Source organism: Homo sapiens, chromosome 11 (genome assembly GCF_000001405.40).
Source record: "Homo sapiens chromosome 11, GRCh38.p14 Primary Assembly".
NCBI lineage: Eukaryota > Metazoa > Chordata > Mammalia > Primates > Hominidae > Homo > Homo sapiens.
The window spans coordinates 90,433,119-90,459,107 of record NC_000011.10 but is presented as its reverse complement, the minus strand read 5'-3'; the positions used below and the strand labels follow the sequence as shown (position 1 = coordinate 90,459,107).

At 35.5% G+C, this 25,989-nt stretch overlaps 1 long non-coding RNA gene across 1 annotated transcript in view, besides 2 other annotated features; it reads right to left on the bottom strand.

Moving 5' to 3' along the window:
- DISC1FP1 (DISC1 fusion partner 1) overlaps positions 1 to 25,989 on the bottom strand; it is a 663,821-nt gene that overhangs the window by 455,945 nt on the left and 181,887 nt on the right. The window lies entirely within an intron of this gene.
- Positions 20,416 to 21,143: an enhancer, noted in NCBI's record as "OCT4-NANOG-H3K27ac hESC enhancer chr11:90171133-90171860 (GRCh37/hg19 assembly coordinates)". NCBI's record gives its function as "activates a minimal SCP1, AML or CMV promoter by ChIP-STARR-seq in primed H9 embryonic stem cells {active_cell/tissue: H9 hESC(primed)}" and the evidence as "EXISTENCE:reporter gene assay evidence [ECO:0000049][PMID:30033119]".
- Positions 23,953 to 24,247: a silencer, noted in NCBI's record as "tiled region #15479; HepG2 Repressive non-DNase unmatched - State 13:Ctcf". NCBI's record gives its function as "represses a minimal TATA promoter and a strong SV40 promoter by Sharpr-MPRA in HepG2 cells {active_cell/tissue: HepG2}" and the evidence as "EXISTENCE:reporter gene assay evidence [ECO:0000049][PMID:27701403]".

Here is a 25,989-nt window from a genome sequence, read left to right as displayed (position 1 = left end):
TGCTGCTGCATTGATGACATAAATAATGGTTTTTAAAGAACTCAAACAGAATTTAGAACATAGAGACCTGTAGGTTTTCTTTAAAACAATAAATAGAATGCTCTTGGGAGAAAAGCATATAGACACAAATTTTTTAATCTAATAAACTGTACTCCTCAAAGTCATCTATCTTGTTACTATCACTTGCAGCAAGGGAGTCTTGGCACAACTGAGAAATCATAAACTCACAAATATAAAATTTAATGAGAAATCAAATAACATAAACCAATCTCATAAAAAGAAATGAGGAAATGAAATAAAAAGCAGCCAGGAAAAAAAAAATCTGACTTTAGCATTTTTGATTGTTTGCCAGGTCACAGACTGCTATAAAAAAACTTCTATTAATGGATGCAAAATTGAAATATTTGGAGAATGGAAGGAGAGATGGCCAGGGTTAGTATTTTTGTTGGATTGATTATAAAATTTATGACAGTATGTGGCAACACCAACACCATAATGTAAGGATAGACCAGATTTTCAATTATTTTTTATAATATTATTACTAAAATTAAAGTGCAGCATATACCAGAAAGACTTCTAGCATGACAGATAATTTGCATTCATATCTCATCTTTTCAGCTGATTGATGTGCTCTAAGTTACTTCACCCATCTAGCTCTATTTTTCCTCATATAATGCGAGATGCTCATACTAACAAATTAAACATTCCCATAGTAAAAGATTAGTAAGCAAATACTGAAGTACCTTAAAGACATACTTTAAATAAATACAATTCAGTACAACTTTCAGTTGTGTATGAGAGTGCTTCAAATAATAATAATGTTTATAAATATTCAATGAATATTTATTGAGAACTTACCATGCTACATGTGTTGGGTACTGGATACTATTATTAGATAGTCTATAGACAGAAAGATATCAAAATAATATGTACATGAAATTTCTAGCACATTCATACACAGAAATAAGTAGTGTTATCTCATTTAAAAGCGTGGCTTTGCTCAATATGGGCAGGAGAAATTTTAAAACTTTGCTTCTGATCATAAAATCAATAATTATCCATTTTGTAGAACTTGAAAATATATAAAAAGTTCTAAAATGACCAGAAAAATAATCTGAAATACTGATAGATTTCCCCTATTAATATATTTCAAAAAGTTATTAATGTGATATTTACACATACATTATATTTTTGCTTTTTGTTTCATTTGTTTTTCTTTTATAATTTCAATTTTATTTTAGATTCAGGGGGTATATGTGTAGGTTCATAATACGGATATATTGAGTGACACTGAAGTTTGGGGTACAAATGATCCCATCACTAAAGTAGTGAGCATAGTACCTAATGGGGATTTTTTCAGACCTTGCCCACTTCCCTCTCTCCCCAGTCTGTCTGCAGTGCCCATTGTTCCCAACTTATGTGCATGTGTACACAATGCTTAATACATTGTATTCAGTTTTCTGTTTCTGTTAATTCACTTAGGATCATGGCTTCCAACTGTATCTATGTTGCTGTAAAGGAAATGATTTTGTTCTTTGTTATGGCTATGTAGTATTCCATGGTGTCTATGTTCCACATTTTCTTTATCCAATCCACCATTGATGGAGCATCTAGGTTGATTCCATGTCTTTTCTATTGTGAGTAGTGCTGTGATGAACATATGAGTGCACGTGCCTCTTTGGTAAAATGATTTCTTTTCCCTTAGGTATATACCCAGTGATGACATTACTGGGTCAAATGGAAGTTCCGTTTTAAGTTTTTTTTGTTTGTTTGTTTTTGTTTTGAGACGGGGTCTTGCTCTGTCACCCAGGCAGGAGTGCAGTGGTGCGATCTCAGCTCACTGCAACCTCTACCTCCCGGGTTCCAGCAATTCTCTGCCTCAGCCTCCCGAGTAGCTAGGATTACAGGCAGGTGCCCCCACGTCTGGCTAATTTTTGTATTTGTAGTAGAGACAGGGTTTCACCATCTTGGCCAGGCTGGTCTAGAACTCCTGACCTCATGATCCACCAGCCTCAGCCTCCCAAAGTGTTGGGATTACAGGTGTGAGCCACTGCACCTGACCTGTTTTAAGTTCTTTGAGATACCTCCAAATTGCTTTCCACAGTGGCTGAATTAATTTACATTTCTACCAACAGTGTATAAGCATTCCCTTTTCTCCACAGCCTTGCCAGCGTCTGTTGTCTTTTGAATTTTTAATAATGGCCATTCTGACTTGTGTGAGATGGAATCTCATTGTGGTTTTGATGTGTACTTCTTTGACAGTTAAAGATGTTGAGCATTTTTTCATATGTTTGTTGGCCACTTGTATGTCTTCTTTTGAGAAGTGTTATGTTCACGTCTCTTTTTAATGCTGTTATCTGTTTTTTGCTTGTTAAATTGTTTAAGTTTCTTGGCTGGGCATGGTGGCTCACATCTGTAATCCCAGCACTTTGGGAGGTCAAGGCGGGTGGATCACTTGAGGTCAGGAGTTCGAGACCAGCCTGACCAACATGGTGAAACCCCATCTCTACCAAAAAAAAAAAAAAAAAAAAAAAAGCCAGGCATGGTGGTGGGCACCTGTAATCCCAGCTACTTGGGTTGAGATGCTGAGGCAGGAGAATGGCTTGAACCCAGGAGGCAGAGGATGTGGTGAGCCGAGATCATGCCACTGCACTCCAGCCTGGGTGACAGAGTGAGACTGAGTCTCTAAAAAAGAAATTGTTTACGTTTCTTATATATTCTGGATATTAAACCTTTGATGCACAGTTTGCAAATGTATTTTTTCATTCTGTAGATTTTCTGCTTACTCTGTTGATAGTTTATTCTGCTGTGCAGAAGGTCTTTAATTAGGTCCCACTTGTCTATTTTTGGTTTTGTTGCAATTGCTTTTGAGAACTTAGTCATAAATTCTTTCCCAAAGCCAAAGTCCAGAATGGTATTTCCTAGGTTTTTCTAGGACTCTTATAATTTGAGGTCTTACATTTGAGTCCTTCATGCATCTTGAGTTAATTTTTGTAGATGGTGAAAATTAAGGGACCAGTTTCATTCTTCCACACATGGCAAGCCAGTTAGCACAGCATCATTTATTGAATAGGGAATCTTTTCCCCATTGCTTATTTTTGTCAATTTTGTCAAAGATCAGATGGCTGTAGGTGTATGGGTTTATTTCTGAATTCTCTATTTTGTTTCATTTGTCTATGTTGGGGTGATCAGACCCAACACCAGGTCGTGGGGGTGACAAAGTCCGGAAGAGTCAAAGGATTCAGAAAAAGACAGTTTGAGAGATAAAGGTGGGACCCAGGGGGCCATGACTATTGTGGAGGCTGCGAAGGCCCTGAGCTCTGGGAGCCCACCCTATTTATTGGTAATCCAACAAAGAAACAGGTGGTGAGAATGTGGAGGTCAAAAGGTCACATTGCATTAAGCACATGATTTACGCTGTGATGGTTTAGTATTTGCTCTGCTACTTGAGATAATGGAGAGCAGGTTCTTTTAACTCAAGATACAATCGATCCTGGAGAGCAAGGAGCAAGGAGCCAGCAAGTCTAGACACATTCCAGAGCCACAAGCCCTGGATTCTATCCAAGCTACAAGGTATTTTATGCCCTGGGCTTAGATTATGGTGTGTCAGGGTAGCCTTCCACCCTTTAGCACAGAGCTTGGTGTTCCAAAGGCCACAAGGGGTTTTAGACCCTGGACCGTGGACATGTTCCAAGACTCTTTTACATTATGTCAGACATGCAAGCCCTGCCTCAGCTTCTCCCAACACTCAGCTTTTCCCAACAGTCTATGAGTCTGTTTTTGTACCAGTACCATACTGTTTTGTAGCCTTAAAGTATAGTTTGAAGTCAGGTAATGTGATGCCTCCAGCTTTGTTCTTTTTGCTTATAATTGCTTTGGCTATTTGAGAAATTTTTCGGTTCTATGTGAATTTTAGAATAGTTTTCCAATTCTGTGAAAAATGATATTGGTTGTTTGATAGGAACAGCATTGATTTGGGCTTATGGTCATTTTAACAATATTGATTCTTCCAATCCATGAGCATGGATTGTTTTTCCATTTGTTTGTGTCATCTGTGAGTTCTTTCAGCAGTGTTTTGTATTTATCTTTGTAGAGATCTTCTCCTCCTTGGTTAACTGTATTCCTAGATGTTTTATTTTTTTGTGGCTATTGTAAATGGAGTTAATTTCTTGATTTGGCTCTCAGCTTTGAATATTATTGGTGTGTAGAAATGCTACCAATTTTTGTACATTGATTTTGTATCCTAAATCTTTTCTGAAGTCATTTTTCAGTTCTAGGTGCCTTTTGGCAGACCCTTTAAGGTTTTCTAGGTATAGAATCATATCATCAGTGAAGAGAGATAATTTGACTTCTTATTTTCCTGTATGGATATCTTTTATTTCCTTCTCTCACCTGATTGTTCTGGCTAGGACTTTCAGGACTATGTTGAATAGGAGTTGGTGAGAGGGCTTTCTTGTCTCGTTCCTGTTCATAAGGGGAATGTCTCCAGCTTTTACTTATTCAGTATAATGTTGGCTGCAGATTTCTTATGGATGATTCATTATTTTGAGGTTTGTTTCTTTGATGCCTGGTTTGTTCAGGGTTTTTATCATGAAGAGATTTGGATTTTATCCAAAGCATTTTCCGTATCTATTGAGATGATCATATGGGTTTTTCTTTAATTGTTTATCTGGTGAATCACATTTATTGATTTGCATATATACATACATTTAAAAGGCAAATAATGCTAAAAGCAGTCCTCAGCTTTAAACCTTTATACCACCCTCATTTGTGATCTCTGGGGTAAATCCCTTTGAACACTTTTAGCTACTTTATTTTTCTGATATTTATTTCAACATATTTAGATAATAGTGTTTGTGGCACTTACTGATTTTTCGATACACCATATATCAATTTCATTTTATTTTACACCATGATATGTTTTCTGTATCTATCACCTTCATCTTTTTCTCCATAGATTGTTTTGGTTTTTTATTGCTGCCTGCCATGACAAGTTATCACAAAGTTTGCTTCAAAAACACAAAATACCATCTCACAGTTCAGGTAGGTCAACTAGTTTATTCCCTGGGTCTCACCAGCCCCAAATAATGTTTTCCAGCCTGGGCTAGTATCTGGAGATTCTTGGGTAGAATCTGCTTCCAGTCTCTGTTTGGTGGTTTATAAAATTCAGTTACCTGTGACAGCATTCCAAGATTCTCATTTTCTTCTTGGATATCAGCTGATGACAGTTCTTTACTTTTAGATGCTTCTCCCTGTTCCTTGCACATGGTTTCCTATATCTCAGAACCAGAGCAATAAAGGTGTGAACATAAAGAGGAAGGAATCACTATAGGTAAACTTAGAGACTGCCACATTCTGCCATCCAGCCCCCAGTGCTTCACAGTCCTTTCACATGCTAAATGCACTCATCACCTACCAAGTTTCCTAACAGTGTCATCCCCTTACAGCATTTGCTCAAAGTCCATAATCTCATCATCTAGATCAAGTCCAGGTAGAGATGAGACTCCTGGTTATAAACTAGTAACTACAGCTTTTTGGGTACAATTATTTACCATCTGTGGACCTGTAAAACTAAAGAGAAAAATGGTCATTCCCAAACACAGCTAATCAATAATGGGACATGTATAGAACAATAGCTATAGTTATTCTGGATCAGAAATGGAAAAGTGAAGGTAAAAAGGAGTCACTGGTCCATTACAGTTTTGACATTCATGCGGACAAATTCCAGCCATAGTTATTGGTTTATAGGTTTCAAAGCCTAGGAATAATCTTCCCTGACTCCTACTTCTACTATTTGGGCTCTTGGTTTTGCCTTCTGAGTCAAACTTCCCTTTTACATAAAAAGCAGCATGTATTTATAAATAAATTATATCAGCCTAATTTCTGCCAGTAGAATTCTGGAGTTCCAACAGTCTCTTTTTATTTTGCACTCTTTTTGTCTTGTTCAGTCCAAGCAGGTAGTTTCTTGCTGAAATAAATTTCTTAAAAATTATGTAGATCCAGCCGGGCGCGGTGGCTCACGCCTGTAATCCCAGCACTTTGGGCTGCCGAGGCGGGCAGATCACGAGGTCAGGAGATCAAGACCATCCTGGCTAACACAGTGAAACCTCGTCTCTACTAAAAAATACAAAAAAATTAGCCGGGTGTGGTGGCGGGCGCCTGTAGCCCCAGCTACTCAGGAGGCTGAGGCAGGAGAATGGCGTGAACCTGAGAGGCGGAGCTTGCAGTGAGCAGAGATCGCGCCACCGCTCTCCAGCCTGGGCGACAGAGCAAGACTCCGTCTCAAAAAAAAAAGAAAAAAAAATTATGTAGATCTCCATGTATTTCATTGGTTTTCACTCCTTTATGATATTCTATGAAATAATGACAGGATGGAGAAGAATGGAAATCAGGATAAAGGCCACAGTTTAAGAGACTAAAGTTATATTTTAGTCTTTTCTATACGAATTCAACTTATCTATGATTTCTCTTTATGATGGAAATACAAAAACAATAATAAAGGTATATTCTAAGTCAATATCTACATACTATGTGTGAAAGGCTGTATTAGGTTTCTCCAATAAAGTTACCACATCCAGAACCAAAGCAATAATTTATATCAACGTCTGAACAATTAGTTAATTTTTATAACTCTTTTTGTTTTTGCATTGGCCAAACAGATAAGTTAAGTGTGGATGTGGTAAGAATCACCATATTTCTCAATTTACTGCCTATTATCTTGGCAATTTTTCCAAGGTAGGTAGTATCATTTTTAGTTTGCCATCTAGTGAGGGCATTTATATAGAACAATTTTGTATTCTTCTCACCAAAATAATACTTTAACACCCTTCCCACCTCTGTAAGTTTTTGTGAGAAGTGCAAAGATTCTGACAGAAACTAAGTATATTTATTTCCCAATATATTTTCTAGGACTGAGTAAATAACCCCAGTAAGCCTCCATGGTTCCATTGGATCCCTGTGAGACTGACTTAGGTCAACTCTTCAATTGTCACTCAACTACATTAATTCATGTCTTGTAACATTTAGGGTCTTTTGGGATAAGCACAAAAAGTCTATATCAATTAACTCTAGGAATATCTGCAGGGGAAAGGGGGTATTTTCTCAGTGTATAATCAACTTGGTGATTCTTCATGTTCCTTTGAGAAAGTCTCGAGTGAACTTTAATCGCTAGATGGTAATTTTAGTGGCTCAAGTAACTCGAGTAACTTTAGTGGCTAAACCCATGGCTAGATGGTAGGATCTTTGACCTAGGATCTCAGCCTTTCTTTATGTAGCACTCAGTTTGTTAGTGGGCTTAAGCCCCTACATAAAGTAAGAGTACATAAATCTCTACAATATAAGCTAGATTCAGATTTCTGACCAAAATATTTGAAATTTCCACCTATAAATGTCAAGCAGAACCACATCCAGCTGCAAATTTCATTTAAGGATCCCGTGATTAGTTAGAACTGTCATAAATACTTGTATGTTCAAACAGTCTGGTTTCTATATAATCTTTGTAGTTTATTAATTGCTTCTACCTTGCCTATGATATTTAAGCAATAGCACCAAGCTCTGTCACACTGGGATCTCATTTTTTTTGCACTGAAATCATGGAATTTAGCCCTATTACAGCACCATTTTCACCTTCTTTCTCACTTAATTTCTCATGTACAGAGGAAAATCAGTGGTTTCTCTAGAGATACTGGTATGCTGTAACCAATATATTTCTTAATTCTTTAATGAAGGGCATGACCTCTCTTACTGACAGGGGGTGTGGCTTACAGGTAGCTGAGAATATTTCTTATAATAAATTCATTCCAAGATACTAATTTCTGGGACCTTTCAGATTCCTTTCTCTGCAGTGTGACAAGGAACTTCTGGCATAAAGTCTCATTAAGTAAAGGCCACATTGCATCCAGGCTTCAACTACCCAATCAAATCAACTATTAAATCTAGTCTCCAGTGTTGAGGCCACTAATTAAAAACAGAATCCCTGGTAAGTGCACCCCTGTCAAGGACAGGCCTTCAGGTAATATGAGGGACTGGATTGGATACCAAGGAAAAATGCTTCTAAATGTATAAGACCATTTCTTTACAAGAGAAGCATGTTACCTGAAAGAGTAAAAGGTATTTAGAGAAACATGAGGTTCAAAGTTCTTAGCTTCATCCATGAGTGTACATATGTAACAATCCTATGTCTCAAGTTCCTGCTGCTTCTTCAACAGTGTTCACATTAGTGTAAGAGAGCTGGTGAAACTGAGCATTTATTTGGTACTTCAAGGTCTTTAATCATTCCAATCAGTAGCCACATTTGGTCCTCATAGGACAGATAACATCTTCCTTTAAAGCTGCTATGGAGGACTTCCAATTTTAATCAGATAACTTTAATTACATGATAATAGTTTTGACTTTTTTCTGTCTATGTGATTCCTAGAGCTAGCCTAAGAAGATATGTGATTCCACAATTTTTATAGTCACCTATATTGCCCTAATGATTTGTTGCTACAGCTATGTGATTTTCCAAAGCCTGGCCTTCTACCTGCATTTCATGTCATGCTGTCAGTTGAGGTAAGGATTAGACATGTCTCATTTTCTCTAGACAAGAAAATTATTCCTCTGTTCCTTCAAAGTATGGACCAGCCTAATCTCAGAAATGTATTCGATTGCTACTTTTCTGATCACTTGCAGGACCAATTAGCCAACAATTAGTTTTTTCATTAAGAAACAGATAGCATACTTGAAACAAGATAATTTGAGGAGTGCTTCCTTATAAAGAGGTAATTCACAACTGTAGCAATGGAAAGAAGCTACAAACGTTATACATTAATGAGAGATATAACTGTTACCACTCCTGGACCCAAAGACACAATAGAAGTAATAAATTGCCTGAATTCTGATGGAGAAAGTAGTTGTATTAAGGTTTTAGGTCACACACACAAACACACTGGGTGGCTTAAAAAAACCAAAATATACTGTAACCATTCTGGAGGCTAGAAGTCCGAAATCAAAGAGTCAGCAGAGCCGAGCTCTCTCTGGAGATTCTAGAGGAGAATCTACCCTTGCCTCTTCCTGGCTTCATGAGGTTGTACAGGAACATGTTTGATGTTCTTTGGCTTATAGCTGCATAAGTACAATATCTACCTCCATCTTCACATGGCTATCTTCCCTGTATTTATTTATGTCTCTGTGTTTTTTTCTCTTCTTATAAAGACAAGTCATATTGAATTTAGGGCCCGCCATATGCCAGTATGACCTCATTTTAACTAATTACATTTACAGAGATGCTACTTCCAAATTAGGTCACATCTGGAACTCTGAGAAGCACATAAATTTTGTTTGGGTGGAAAGGGGAGTGACTACTACGCAACCCAATACAATTATATAGAGTATGTGCTTGAAAGGAGCTTTATCCTTCATACAAGTGATACAACTAACTTGAGTTGACCTAGGAATGATGAAGCTTGGAAAATAAATATGCTGATTCTACTCTTTCACTCCATCTAGATCTCTTGCCAGACTTCACATTGACTAGAATCTAGAAGACATAGAGCCCATTTGTCAGACACTTGGGCAGAAAGCCAGGTGGAGGGAGGTATTAAGTGAATCTTAAAGAGCAAAAAATATTCATCACATGCCTAAAGGCACCCACAGAAGTCTAAATAAACTTACTAGGTTTCTAAACATTATGAAAAGTATACAAAAATTAAGTACCCATTGTAATAGAATGATAAAAGTAGGGGGATATTGTCTAAACTTCAAAAGCACAGAATTTTAAAATTGCTATTGATAGAATTTGTCCATCTTTACTCTAAAATTTTATTTGCTCTTTATAGTCTCAAGAAGTAGAAAGTGATAGATACTAGAGAGAAAAGATGTTTAAGAAAAGACTATTAAATTAACATATTTTGAAAGTCTAATCATATGGAAGGCCACTAATGTTATAGGTTAACTGAAAAACACAATTAATTTTCTGGGGATGCTTAGGAGTAATAAAGTGACTATCATCCCTCTTTGGGAATGACAGAGACAAGACATTTGAAAACTGATTATGAAAACATCTTCATGAGTTCTTATCTTCCAGTCAAATATAACTATATTTTGGGGAGCCTTTTCAAAATGATGACTGATATGGCTTAGAATAAACCAAGCTCCTATTATCCAAAGTGAATGAGCATTTTCAACAGAAAAAAAAATCATTAAACTATTTATTCATTAAAAGGAAAACAATAACATTTAAGTTAAGATGATGTCAATGCAGGAATCTCTATTGTATCATCTCTCTATACATGAAAATATTATTAGAAAACTACTCAACAATGAAGTACTCATATCAGCACTGAAAATTTAGACTAGCAGTCTTACATTCACCAGTGTCAAGGAAGAATGTCTACTAGGAGCAAGATTTAGTGGCCTCTCTTTGTATACTTCAGCCTCTGAATTAAAACACCAATTAACAAAACTAGCCTTAGGCTCTGCTTATCCCCATTTCTTACCTTAACTGAAAGTCAAGGCTGTGTTTCAGTCAGAAACCCGGTAAAGGAATACTGCTTTCCTAAGTATCCATTGCCCCACCGCATTGCCCTGCCGGGACTCCCTCCCTCTCTACATACATTTAGACACTACACATCTCATGACTGGGATAAAAGAGAACAGATATTGACATTTGGCATTCTCAAGTCAGAACGCTTTCATCTAAAGCACTGTAGCTGACAGAGAGGAATAAAAGTCATTTATAATGTGTGTGATGTCTGTGTGCACACTTTCCTGCTCTGCAAAGATCAAAGGGAAGCTATATTATCAGGGACATAAATTATCCTCCTTATTGTCAGAAATTATGTAAATAGCCTTAATTTAAGCATAAAAGTTTATAATGTCATACACCAAAACAACTACAAAGGTCACTGGAATGTATATAGTTTAGTTTTAAATTTTTATCACAAATGTTTGTATTTTCAAGTCATTTTACACTATTTCTATATATTTTTTGTTAAGAAAAAGAAAACACATTTGAAATGAAAGAAATGGAAAAAAAGAAACGCAGAAAAGAAGAAAGCAAAAATAAAAGATTTAAAAACTGCTGTCTGAATATATTATTGAATTTTTGTAGCAGTGGTTGAACAGACCAGTGAATTCATAATAACCCTCATAACATAGAACATAATTTTTGAACTTGTACCTTAAAACAAGAAAGTTGTGCCAGTGTTTGTATCTTAATTCTCTGATATTTTGCTCACAACCTAGTAACTGCATGCCTTCTGCTACACAGACTGTAGTTTCCCAGCACTACACTACAATGTATTTTAGCTTCAAGTGTGATGCTATTTTTGTTTTGTTTTGTTTTTTCAGCCAAGCTAACATATTTGAACCTTACTTATTTGAAAACCAGATGTTTCTCTAATGCTTTAAGACTTAGTTCAACCGGCGCGGTAGCTCAAGCCTGTAATCCCAACACTTTGGGAAGCCGAGGTGGGTGGATCACTTGAGGTCAGGAGTTTGAGACCTCGGCCTCCCAAAGTGCTGGGATTACAGGCGTGAGCCACCGCGCCTGGCCTGTAATTAATACTATTTTGAATTTATGTGCAATGACCAGATGTACATACACAGGTGAGAGAGTGTTTAACCCTGCCTCTAAAGGAGGAGAAAAGATTTAACCAAAGAAATAATATTAGAATTAACTCTTGAAGGATTCATGCACCCATTTATTTGTTTATGCACTCTTTTTATAAGAACTCCTATGTTCTCTTTTTTGAGAACCCCTATGTTCCAGGCATTGGGATAAGTAATAAAGATATAATTTCCCTGATCTATTACAATCTAATATAGGAGACAGAAATGACTTAAGTAATCTTCTTAATGAATATATACAGTGTAAAGCATATTATATGAAGACAAAGAATGTGCATCCATAAAAACATGTAAAATGATACACAAAAGTACCCCAAGAAACTGTTGCTTAAGCATGCTAGAGTTAATTAGGCAGAGGGAAGGATGAAATTTTAAAAAGAAAATTTTATATACAAAGACTGTTTGATATAAGGAAGTAGGACACACTCAAAAACTGATTTTTAAAAACCACCAAAACCACAACAAAAAGCCTTATAGTGGAGCGGAGTACTGAAGGAGGATAATACAAGGTGGGCTGAAACCCTAGTCAAGACCAGTTAGACAAGACTTGTAGGCCATGTTAAAAACTATATAATAACAACAGTGAACACCATTGAGAGGTTTTAAATGGAATTCTACTGCTCTAAGAAAATAATTTGGCACAATCCTGACATGAAAGTAAGAATGCAAGTGGCATATTCAGAGAAGGGGAACTAGGTGAATATAACTAGAGGAAGTTGGAGATTTGGAGATGACCAAGACATCCTTGACATTCCTCTCCCAGCAAGTTGAGAAAACTTTTAGACAAGCTTCTTACTGATTTTAGGCCCCTGGCCAATTTTTTTAGAGCACTTATTTAAAAAACCTGTCATTGTAAGTTCTTTCTCTGCCCCTTGGACATGTGAATATTTTTAAAAGCTCCTTGTCAATTTTTTTCAATGCAGCAATGTCATTCCTTGATATGTGATTATCAAGGAAGAAAACACCCCTATCTCAGTTTCTGTGGGAGGGTAGGAGCCTAAATTTAGCAGGTTCCTTGCTCCAAGTTGTAAAAACTATTCCTGTCATGAAGCTATGAGAAAGTTAAATTTAACTTTGGGTAAAGCCATTGGTAAATATAGATGGCCTATGACCCCTCATCCCCAGCCCAGCTCTTAAAAGCTCTCCAGGCCCGTGTTTTAGTAGAGTTGAGCTTGAAGTGAGTTCAGGCCTTTCTCCACTATTGTGATTGTCTTAGTCTTTCCTGCCTTTGATATTGTCTCATACGGGTTTTGCTTTGACAGAAATGAGACCAGAAAACATCAAACAACAAATTAAAGAGCTTGATTCTATTATTATGCAATGTGAAAGCAGCCAATAGTTTTAAGCAAAAATAAGGACCATATAATTTAGAAAGATACTTTTTGGGACAATGTAGAAGAAAGAAAAGTAGGTAAAGGATATATTGAGAGCACAAAAGGATCTGAAATTGGCTGGATTTGAAAGACAAGTTAGAAAAAAATTCAAATCTGAAAATATAAGGTTTATAACTTAACTGAATGGATGGATACTGATGCCATAAGTTATTTTTCTTTGTACATGTTTTCCTTGCCTGAAATGCTCTATTCCCAAACTTCTCCATATGGCAAATTTCTTCAAGATCTTCCTTATATGTTATTTCATCTTATGGGTTTCCCTAATGCTTCCAAGTGTAATTAGTTGTTCCTTCCTATGGATTCCAGAGTGCATTAGACATACTTGCACACAGTGATGTCTATCACCCTGATTATCTATTTGTTCACTTGCTAGTGTGCCGTATTTTATGTAGAAGGAAATGACTGGGTCTTATTCATATTTGACCTTTCAATGTCTAGCATTGTACCTATTATATAAAAGTTAAAGTCACAGGAATAGGCAAGTAAGACTAATGATAAAGTCACAAGTCTATAAGTGAAAGTAAAAGGAGGCCAGTTGCCATGGTATGTTGCAAGGGAAGGAACATGGATGATCATGGAAGAAAGACATGTGGTTTTTGTTTTAATGTACCAAGTAATGTAGTATTTGAAGCTACCAAAGCTGTAGGATTTGAGCAAAATAAAACAGAAGCAGTGAAAGGACATTTTTAACAAAACTGACTGAAAGTTGAACTGTAACTATTAATAAATACAGTCACAGGGAATACCTCCAGAAGACTTGGAAGATGAGTGAATGCACAGATCTCTAGAAGTACATGGAAACAACCTAGCCCTTAGAGATGTGATGTTATGGTGTGACTGCAGAGTTGCATTAAGAAGCAAATATTACATTTCATTAAGAAGCAGAGTTGCATGGAGAAGCATTAAGATGCAAAGATATTTAAGAGAGGTTTGTCTTACGATAGAGACATCTACCTTTACGTTTTAGAGCGAGGAGAAAATTAACCACTGAAGGCAAGAAGAAGGGCCACATCATTGGAGAGGCCAAAGATGAAGTTGAGATCATTGCTGAGCTTTGCTAAGGAGGTTATTTCAGCTGCCTTAATAGAGGAAGATAATTGACACATGCTGGGAATGTAAGGTTCTTGCATAAAGTTTTGTGTGAAAGAACATTCCTTATAATAATTTGGAATCTCAAATTATTGCTATATGGGACTCAACATATTAGAAAGTACTCAATAAGTGTTTGTTAATTTGAATTGAATTGACACATAATCTATAGTCTAGTGATTTATTTTAGATACATAACTTCAATCTTGGTAATATTGCCTTATTTAATTTAATCAGATATCTAAGTAAAATGTTTCCTATAGAAAATACTAATTAAACAATTTAATGATCTGACTGTCTACATACATAAGGGATAAATTAGCCCAATATCTAGCATATAATACTATTCAAAGAAAAAACTAGTTGCCTCCCCTTGTCTTTTCTTCCCCGTAACAAAAGCACCTAAGGAAATACCCAACATGTTATTATACTTCAATAAATATTGGAATGAAATATAGAATATTTGCTAATATTTAAACTGTCAATTATAAATAAAACCTAATTCAAACACAAATATTCTTTAAGAAATTTGAAGTTTTCTAAACTTAATTATATATAACTATATACATAATATATATCATTGCACCATATATATGGTATAAAAAATTGAATGATCCCAAAGTAATATGTTTAATAAAAGTTGGTAAATATATTGTTAAAGAATATAGTGTTGCAACATTTTCTATCTTTAAAATTAAAAATTATGAATTCTGGGTAGCTGGCATCATAATTGACCCATCTGAAGAATCTATACCTACCTTTCAGTGAGTTTTTGCTCTTGTGAAACATAAAATATTTTGTCTTTATTAAATTTTAATCATGTCTTTATTGCTTTGGTGAGTTTGCTTAAGTAAAAATAATTTTATTAAATTTGTTAAGCCATTTAAGGTTATGTTAAGCCATTTAAGACTATGTTAAGCCATTTAAGGTTGCCTGTTTGACTCCACTTAAAAAAAAAGTCATGGTATAAAATTGACATCCCACAAATAGCTTAGCTAAGAAAGATACTATAAAACAAAAATGTTAGTGTTATCTAATAGGTGTAGTATAATAGATAATGAAGATTAATGGCATATTTAATGATATTGTACTTACGATAAACATGCCCATCATTATAAGTTCAACCATGGCAGAGAGGAATATCTCAGTATATGAAAATGTTAAAGTTAAAATGACACCTGAAAGTCACCCTATTAAATTCTTCTTGTCACAGATGAGTGCACTGCATCCTTCAGATATTAGGTTTTATGTGCAAGTTTTCAAAGCAAGTTAACGACATAGCCAACCTATACCCCAGGATACTACACTGTCAATCCAGTTTCTTACTCTCACTCAGTCCCAGTTTTTCTCAGCTGTAAAAATAGGGTAAAAATACCTAAAGATCTTATTTTAAAGGAAGAAATGAGATTTCATAAGTCCATAATAAATGATTGTTGCTGGTCTTATTATGCCACCTGCCCCAAATTAACATCATTGTTTCCCAGCCTCAAATGAGGAATATTAACAATAAGAGAAAACAATAATCTGAATTCAGGAGCAATCTGTTTTCTAAATATCTGTGGTTAATTTATTCAATGAAATCAAAGCATTTCTCATAAATTTATTTTCTCCAAAAGCAGAAATCATTAGTATAATTACCTTTTGAAATATGATAAATTTGATAGACGGTTTGCATTTCCTTATCTATAAAGCAAACTGGTATGCAAGATAAACAAAAACTTCATACCTGATTTTCTGACTTTCCAAAACATCAAGATAGTTCTATTTATCTCAAGATTAGGAGTAGGTGAAAAATCTTAAAATAATATATTCAGTTTAGTATTAAAATAAAATTTCCTTTTGTTATATTGATTTATTTATATAATAAATAATACTTTACAGGAAATAAGGAAACAAGGAGAAAACAAAATCAAATATATTAGGCCATAATAATTGATTAAAACTTTAAAACTCTAAAAATTCCACAAAGAATGAGAATCATTGCTGAAAACAATCATTTCATTCAGTCAATCCTGTACCCAACATTTAAGTTAGTCATTTTCTCTCTATCATATGAAAATTATAAAATTCAATAGTATATTATAAAATTCAATAGCCTTAATCTTGGGTGAAGAACATTATTTAAGTGAAATACCAATTAACTTCTGTTTCTCCTTTTGGGTAAGACTGACAAATGATCTTCTCGTCCCAAACCAGGGATTAGGTCCCAAAGAAGTTCAAAATGCTAAAACAGGACCAAAAAATAACTGGGTCTAAGTAGGTGCTACGAGCAGATCTAGGCAGGATTAATGGTGATGGATAGCAACAATAAAAGGATTAGAAAATAATGAGAAGCAGAAGAACTGGGATAGAGAAAAAGAAGGGGTGAAGATGAACAACCAAGCACACTGAGAATGAACTCAGTTATACCCAGAAGTTCTCTTTCCTTTGCCTCTTATGAGTGATGCAATCCCTTCTTCCAAATCCATGAAAAAACTCATGTGAATACAAGTCTCTCTATAAAAAAATACCATAACTAAAGTCTTATTACTTGATATTTAATTTATGGCCATTTTACCGTCAAAATTTAATTTTAGCTAAAATATTTTTAAAGGCATTCTATTTGTATAAACAAAATCATTTAAAAGAACTTACAGCCTTCCTTAATTGCTTGCTCACTTTATTTTATAAATATTGATAAATGAAACAGTTAGGGACGTGGCAGGAAGGACCTGGCATGCTCAAACAGAATAATTGAGGCTTGCAATACGGAAACTATTGATATATGTGTAGGCAGGGATAGAAACTCAACAGAGTGTGTGAAGTACCATGGAAATGGCAACAGCAGGGATACACTATTACCCATAGTCCTTAGCATGCCTTAATTAATTGTTGTTACCCAAGAAGTACTAGAAGCTTCAGGCAAGAGCTGAGAGGAGCTATGGATTTTTAAAAGGTATGTAGTCAATTTCTAGTTACCCTGCAAAGAACACCAAGGGTACCATGACCTCGAGGTCTTTTACAACCTAATTATTTGGCTGGTAGCTCCCAATAGCCAAACCCAGCTGGAAGCTACAGGAGTAGAGAGCTTGTTAATGCAGTCCATATAGGCCAGGCTTCTGGAGCAGAAAGCAGAAAGAAGACTGGAGAGTGGATCCACATGGGCACACATTATATCCAAAAAGGTGCTACTATAATAGTGTGGGTTTATGTCAATCTGAACACACTCCTACCTAAAACCTAAAATTTTAGCCATGACAAATGGCCATTGAATATGGTAGCAGAGAATACAATGGGGAAAGGAAAATATTAAGTAACAAAGCAGTACTGCTGCAATCCCTGCATCATAAGGTCTAATTTGGTAATCAGAATTTCCCTCTACTGCAAAGTACATGCCTTCTGTTATTTCTGGCATCACCTCTGCAGGAAGTGTTTATACACCTACTGGGTTAAACCAAAACTTCATTCTTGTAATGCCTGAGTCCTTGGTGATCCTGTCTTTATTGGCCTGCTTAAATTTTCTATTGATCAGGACGGTTGGGCAAGAAAGTACTAGGAAGCGCCTCAATGAATCCTATAGATCCTAGGCATGGTTCTAATTGTCCCATTGATGGCAGTGGCAGGCCCTCTGGAGTGGCTGCTGCTATCACGCCAGCTACAGCAGAGAGGCATAGCCAGAACTGCATGCTCCATTGAGCCAGTGGCAGCTGGGGACAAACAGGAACCCAGGACCGAGCCTGAATGCTGTTCTATTTAATCCAACTGCTTCTGTGTCAACTGTAAAAATGGTGACTTTTGTAGTTGTGAATTCCTTGCTCATCTTTCCATAAGTCCCTTCGTAAAAGAGAATGCTGTGTGGGATATGATTACAATGTATCCATTTTGTAAGTCCACAAACGGTGGTGCTGGCAGAGCTTCAATGGATAGAAAGGAAATTCTGAATAGAAAATACATATCTGTTCCTATAAAGATTAATTTCTGTTTCTCCTTCCATAGTCCACCTGTAAAAGTGGGGTCAAACATAAACAATCTTCTCTATTGACCCCTATTTCCTCCAGAAATGAGCTTATTGAGGGCTTCAGCATAAGCCTCTGCTTTTGGCAGGATGGATACTCAGCAATGTTAGAAATCAGATCAGTCTTAATAAAAAGAAATCCATGCTGTTAAACCCATGCATACCCTCTATACTTGTCATGGTATTTTGTACTTTAATTTATTGACTAAACACTGGAGTGGCTAGAAAAAGAGGCTGTTTGACATACACAAGACAGCCTATCGTGTCCATATGATTACTGAGATTCATCTCTGCTTTAGATGGACATTTACATTGGCTAAGAATATCTTGACATTCTGTTCCAGTTCCAAGATGTTCACCAACATTTCTCCCATCAATATTCCAATTCTGAAATCTTTGTCATCAATATAAAATATTTGTCATCAATATTTCAATTCTATTCTTACTATCCCTGGACAATATATCATAAACTTTGGATGAATTAGTATAGATCAGTACTTTGTGTCAGTCTTGTTCTCACAAAGTAGATACAGACATAGGACTTAAGGACTTGCCTTTCACCATTACTTTCAGGGCTACCCCTGAGTAGGTAGTACATATAGTGGCCATTCACATTCAGTTGGTGCTGGCATACCAGAAGTTGCAGGGAAATATTCATGAGGCAGTAGGTATCAATTGAGATAGAAGCTATAAACCTACATATAGCCTAAGAATCTAAGCCACCTGCTCAGGCAGTTTACTTGTGTTTTCTAGACCTGTGTTTTCTAGACTTGGGTTTTCTAAGACCCAAATTTATATATGCCATTTTCTAACTTACAGCAGAATGTTGCTGCACACATCCAATTTTATAACGCAGTAGATCAGATAATGCCCAGTATATGATGGATGGTTCAGATCACATAGTCTATTGGGACTTTTGATCAGGCATTCAGTATCCATGAGGGTTTAGTATCATGCCACAAATTGATTTTCAAATGAAATAAAATTATTGGCAAAAGAAGGGATAACCTCAGATGAAAATCCTTGGGATATACATTCTGATATTCCTATTCTGGCTTGCTTAATGTTCCATATAGTAGAATTTCTCTCTGCCACAGGCACTCCTTGTTTCCTTAATTTAGCCAACTTGTAAGGCCCAAGTACTATGCAGCTTGTACCACAGTGTGGCCTGATTTAAGCCTCTTTTTACTCTACCCCACTCAAAATTGGCAAATTACTGGTTACCAAGAAAATGGAACACAGAAAAAAAGAAAAAAAAATACAATATGATGCATCTTGCTTCCAAAACCCAAAAAAGTCTCTCAGTTTTAATGTTTTGAGATAGCAGATAGCAGGTTCACTTTAGGATGGATATGCAAATGTATACCAGGCTGCCAGACCATTACAAGTTATCCCAATGTGACAGGTGCCTGAATTTTTATAGATTTCATCTTTTATCCTCAATCATACCTGTATCTTACTAATGCAACTCAGTGGTTACTGCTTCCTGCTCATCAGGTTGAATTACTACATCTTCAATATAATAGATTAGCATGATGTCCCATGGAATATCAAGATGATTAAGATAACTCTAAAATTTGCTGTGATACAGAAAATGAGAATTGACATAGTCTTGAGGTAATGTGAAATATTGTTTTGTTCTGTAAAGTGAAATTGATTCTGGTTATCTTTGTTGTTAGGTTTGGGAAGAGAAAGCATTTTCTAGGTAAATAACTGTATTCCAGGTGCTAGATGTGCTTTTTGTTTTTTGCTGTTTGTTGTCATTGTTAATTTCAATAACAAAAGCTCATCTAAGACCACAGTTACAATTAGCATCACTACCTGATGAACTTTGTGAAATCTGGTCATTCTTTAGGTGAGCTGAATATGAGTGTTGGGTAATTCTTTAACCATGCTTCTTTCAAATCTTTTAAGATGACATAAAATAAAACAACCTCCCAGTATTGTGCTTAACTTCCTTGCAAAGAAGGGAACAATTCCAGGTGCTTCCAGTTGGCCTTTCCTTTAGGCTAACACTACATGGGCCAGGAAATCAATATGGGGGTTCTGCCAGTTATCCTATATGTCTGTCTATTCCCTCTATGCATTCTGGGAATGGGAAAACAACCACAGAGTGCATTCACAGTGCCACTGGACCAACTGTTAGAACTGGTCAACTCATTTCATCACCTTCATAAGACTTTATTATGACTGGATGATCATAATGGCATTGAGGATTAGCATCAATTCAAAACTAGTATCTATTAAGCTCTGAAAATTCTAGATGTTTCACTTTCACAAATGCATAGTCACTCTGGTAAATGGCTACAGATTCTTCTGGGGAAACGTTGGATGAAGATGTATGGTCTATAGTGATTTTCTTCAAATGGGCCTATCCTCTCCCTCAAAAATGGAACTTGATATGTAAACTGCCTTAATTCAAAGACATAGGCAAAAGGTTGTGGATCCCAACTGTGGCAATGCATGTCAGAATTCTTCCCATCAAACCTAAAATAATGTGTGTGTGTGTGTGTGTCTCTGTGTGTTGTGTGTGTGTGTAGTCAATCAGTATTATCTACAGAGTTCATATTCGTGAATCCATCTTCCTCTCTAAAATTTATTTAAAACTCCCAAATCACTAGTCATGAGGCTTTTGCAGTCAGTTGCTAACATATGCAAAGTGTAAAAAAAATTGGGTCACCTGAAGCCCACATACCCAGCTCAGTTTAAACTAGCTGATTTTCTGCCTTCTTGTGTCACCTTTGATATGTAAACCAGTGCTCTTTTGTCAGTATATTTGTGTCACATTTTTCACATTTTTGTGCTTCTTATTGATGATTTTGCTGCTTACAATGATCCCTGAGCACAGAGCTGAAGTCCTGTATAGTGCTCCTAAGTTCAATAAGGCTATGATACGCTTTACGAAGAAAATAGCGTGTTAGATAAACTTCATACATATGTAAATTATAGTGTTGTTGGCCATGAGTTCAATGTTCATGAATCAACTATATATAGTAAATAAAGTGCCTTTAAACAAAAACACATTAAATAGGGTTGTCTGATAATTAGTTGATGAAATATTGTGAACAGAAGCTCACAAGAACATATCCCTGTATTTACCTTTGGAGCAATAGTACAATATTCACTTAATTAAGTGTTCATGGCAACTTTATAGAATATAACTACTGCAAATAGTGAGTATAATGAGAATTTACTGTGTGAGTGTAGTGTTATCTCATATGTAGTTTTATTTATGTAATAGCATATAGAATCAATATAAATCTTGATATATGTTATACATATCATATATAAATCAAGAAGCACATTGGTAGTCTGCTTATTGTTTTCATTCCTAAGACACTTTGATCAATTAGCTATTTGGTAGATCTCTTTGAATGAGATATTCTAATTATCTTTCCATCCCAGTGTAGATTATTGTAATAACTCTGCCCACCTTATCCCTTTGAATTAAGCTGTATATCTGGCCTCTCCATTCTGTAATCCTGTTGTTCCCATTGAAGCTAGAAAGCCCAATTCCACTGCATCAACCCTTATCAACACCTTTGAACTACAATGCACAAGCAGAAAAGATCATAGCATGATAATAATGTTTTAGTAATAGTCACTGAATATGTTTGGACACGGTTTATTCACAACTATAAATTTTACAAATTTATCTGCTATTTGTTTAAACTTGTTAATCACAAAATTTCCCCATTTTAAATATCCACATATACTTCATGCCATAAATCCTTACATACATTGCTAATAATTTTAGGGAAATCACATCATTTAAATGCCATAAGGGCTATTTAAGAGACCATATGATATGAAACAACAACAAAAAAGGAAAAGCTTATTCTAAAAAAAGTATATATTTTAGTCTTTTTTTTTAATTTTTGAAAAGTACTGGCCAAAACCACCTTTCTATAATAAATTGTTATTTTTAAAATAGGTCTTACTGTATATAATTTATTTCACAATGAAACACATATAACTTGTATCAATGAAGCTCTCAAGTATACCACTTGAAAATATTTAAACTAAGACCCTTATAATTATTACTACCATTTTGTTATCACCAATCAAAATCAAAATATTGTAGAAACCAATATATCAGAAACAAAAATGACATTAGAATTGCTTACAGTCTAATTAAGTGGAAAAATACACTTTAAACCTGGAAAAATATGCAGGAACAAAAGCCAAGAATACTTGGTAGACCTTAAGACAGAAATCACTTCTGAAGACAGAACTTGAAGGAGATAATTCTCTAGTTAAGAGATGTTTTCCACTTTTAAGTTGAATTTTCCTAAGCGTTGAATCCATATTATAGAAAATCCCTGGAGAATTTAGTTGCAGCTTAGCTACCCAGCTAAGTAAGACATTATTTGTCTAGAATTCAACTAGCCAAAGGGGTGGAGTGGGAGAAGAAACAAAAAAATTCAAAAGCAGTGCTCTCACAGAGAAAATTCTCTAGAGGCTATAAATTCCTCAATAAATACATGATAAATAAATTTATTTGGAGTGACAAGGCAGCTGCCAAATAAACCTTATCCCTAGTGTGCCTTATAATATCTAAACACTCCTCCAATGGAAATAACAGAAATCTATTTGTATATCAATGTACAGCTCAAAGAATATTTTTCATTTGCTTTGCTCAATTTAACCTTCATATTGTCTTTGAAATATAGGTATTATTATTTATGTCCCTGCTTTGGAGATGAGGAAACCAACTAATGGAATTTAAGTATGAAGAGTTGAGCTGGAGAAAGAGAAGAAAATGGACTCAGGTAAAATTAATTTAAAGCTATGTTTTAGAAAATGATAATGTGAAGAGAATACCAATAACATTTTTTATTCTCCTTTGGCTATACTATGATATTCTAGGCATAGCTTTCAAAAATATAAATATAAATTTAGCTTATAAATGTGTAATAATAGGCTCAACTATGTGCCCAGGCCATTAATTTTATGCTGTTCATTGTACTACTCCTACTACCAATTCTAATTTTATGATTAGAACTATTCTTTATACTGAGGATGGGGTTGGTAGAAGAGAAGAAAAGAAACATTGCAGTGGTTTGACAATTCTGTGGGAAAATAATACGCACTCGAGCTTAAAAAAATTCATTTTGTTTTATTTTTATATGCAGTGAATAAATATAATTTTAGTGTAATATAGATAGTCATGCAGGTATGTTTAGCAATTTATGACTTTGACAAGATGATGAGAAGAGACTGAAGAAAAATAGTCACTGAATGAACAGAGTGACTAAGCAGATGAAAATATGGAGGGGAAAATGTTGAGATTCAGTGCAGGCACTATGGAGGTTCTGGGTAGAAAGTAACTATTTACATTTATTCAGTAGACTATAATAGTCGGCAGACCCCACAAATAATAGTAAGAGTATATACTTTGTTATGTGCAAACTGTCAGGGAATAAGTAAGGAGACACAGTTTAAATCTCTTCACAGTTCAGTGGGCTGCCGCATACATAAATAATATAACATGACATTCTATGAGTGAATCACTAAAGTAAGTTCTACAAAATAGTGATTCCATATTAAATACTGAAAAGACTAAGGAGGTTGGGTTATCCTAGGTATTATGATTGGAATTTTTTTCATCAAGTTGGAGAAGACATGCTGAAAATGCATGTGAATTCATGTCTTGCAAGGTGTTCAGGTCAATCCACCTCCTGTGGATCTCTCAGAAAAACATTACTTTGTGATATACTGAGCTATTATTTTTGTGGTCTCAAGATGATTACAGGCTATGTATCGACATTTGGCTAATGAAACTTGAAAATAATATTTTGTTTAGAAATCAATGTTCTGTGTTGAGTAGATTTTACTTATAATTTTTTAAAGGGCTAGTTGATTACTCTTGCTTTTGCAATTTAGTCCCTAAATAGTTAATTCTTGGGATTCTTGAGTAACTCAGAGCCTTAAATGCTTGGCTAATATGAAAAATGGTCAGCCCTGCAACCAGCAGGAGGCATAAGAGGATTTGATAACTGTTGGAAAAGGCAGCCTAAGGCAACAGGACTCTAATCAGTCAGTGCCACTACTATTGGAAACTCTGAGAGCAGATGACAGAAGTGAGAATCCTCCTTGAGGACCAGTAGGGATTTTGAACAACTATACCTGCTCTTCTTTAACATTAACATATGTCAAATCTCAACTTGTATAAGACATTTCAACTCTTAATTATTCTTTCGGTTAAGATTCCTCCTGTTTTCTCTCTACTGACCCAAGGAGTAAATAAGGCATGTTTGCTTTATGTCTACTGTGTGAATCTGTATCTTTGTGTAAAGATATATTTGTGTGGTGAAAACTTTTTGAAGCTTTACTTCCAGCCTAGAAAATAAGTTTCCAACCAGGTTACTCCAGCTAGTGTCAGGAAACCAGGCATACTAATTAAAGGAAATTTGCCAGGAAACACAAGCAATCAAGAAATTATTGCCTGTTTGTAATTGGAGGGAGAGAGGAAATACTAATTTTGGATTGTGGAGTTATGTGAGTGTTGTGATTGTGTTATTATATTGCAATATACTCATGGGAATTTTAGTACAAATTCTGTACACTGTGAGAGAGAGGAGGATCACACCTGAATAGTGAGATCATACCCTGTATTAGCATCCTGAAAATGTAGCAGCTATCTCAGGAAGGAGCCCAGAACTGGAAGGGAAGTCTCAATGAGGTAGCAGAGAATGGCCATTTATTTTCTCTTAGCTTTGATGGTAAAATGGCCAAGATATTGTGAAAGGAGTTCCCAAGAACTAAATATGATGTTGCCCTTCAAATATTGGAATTAGTAAATTCAATCTCTTTGATCAAAATAGTCTCCTAGTCATGACTAAAGACATTCTTTTCCAACAGAAACTCAGCAATATTCTTAAGCAGTTACCAAGAGAATTAGCATAGCTATCAGTGATGAAACCACTTGAGAACATGGATGATGAAAAAGTACAGACGTGGAAGGGGTAAAGACAAAAGCTAGTTGCACTTTTCTTCTATTATCTAAAGTATTTTCAACTTATCTCTATTCTAGTGTTTCACATAGCATAATAATTCATGTACATGTCTGCTTTCCTCATTGGAACTTGAGCTTCTTGAGAGCAGATTTCTCATCTTTATATGCATAGTTCCTGACCCTGGGCCGGGCACATGGAAGACTCTAGACAATGAATAATGTTAATGAAGGAATAAATAGCACCTGAAAACTAAAGCAACTTCATCTCTATTTAGGGATGAGATGACATATTTGCAAACTAGTGGTTATTTTCATAATTGCCATTGTATTGAGGTAGAAAATAAATGTTATTGAGGTATAAGATTAATAAGTATACATAGATCTGATACTATAAACAATATGAACTAAGAACTTCCCTGTTTGACAAAACTTCCTAAAGTTAGAAGAACTTGGATAGTTTAGTATCTTATATAGAACTGAAAAATATTCCTTCATGCCAATATATGTCTGCCTATAACTGTTATGAACCCCTTTAGAACCATATACACCCCTGGCCACCACCCCCAAACACCAACCATCTTCAAAAACAAGATACAGATCTTATCTATAGAAATGCAAACATGACCAAAGATGCTGGAATTCTCAGTCCTGTCATACAGATAGCTGTGTAGTATTACTGGCAGACAGAAAAACTGAGAAGAAACTTGGAAAGTTAATAAATTGTATAACTCATAAAATCTTTGTGAAAACTTCTAAAACTCTCTGTATGAGGGAAGAAAGGAACTCCAAGTTAGCAGTTAAGCTCCCAGACATGTCTTAGTCAAACTAAGGTTTAAGGAAGCTAAATGAAGCTCGGTGAGTTGCTCAAGTGGTAGAACCAGGACCAGAAAACAGTTTTTTAGACTCTTGGGTTTATGCATCTATTACAAAATGGGCTTTGTCTTTAT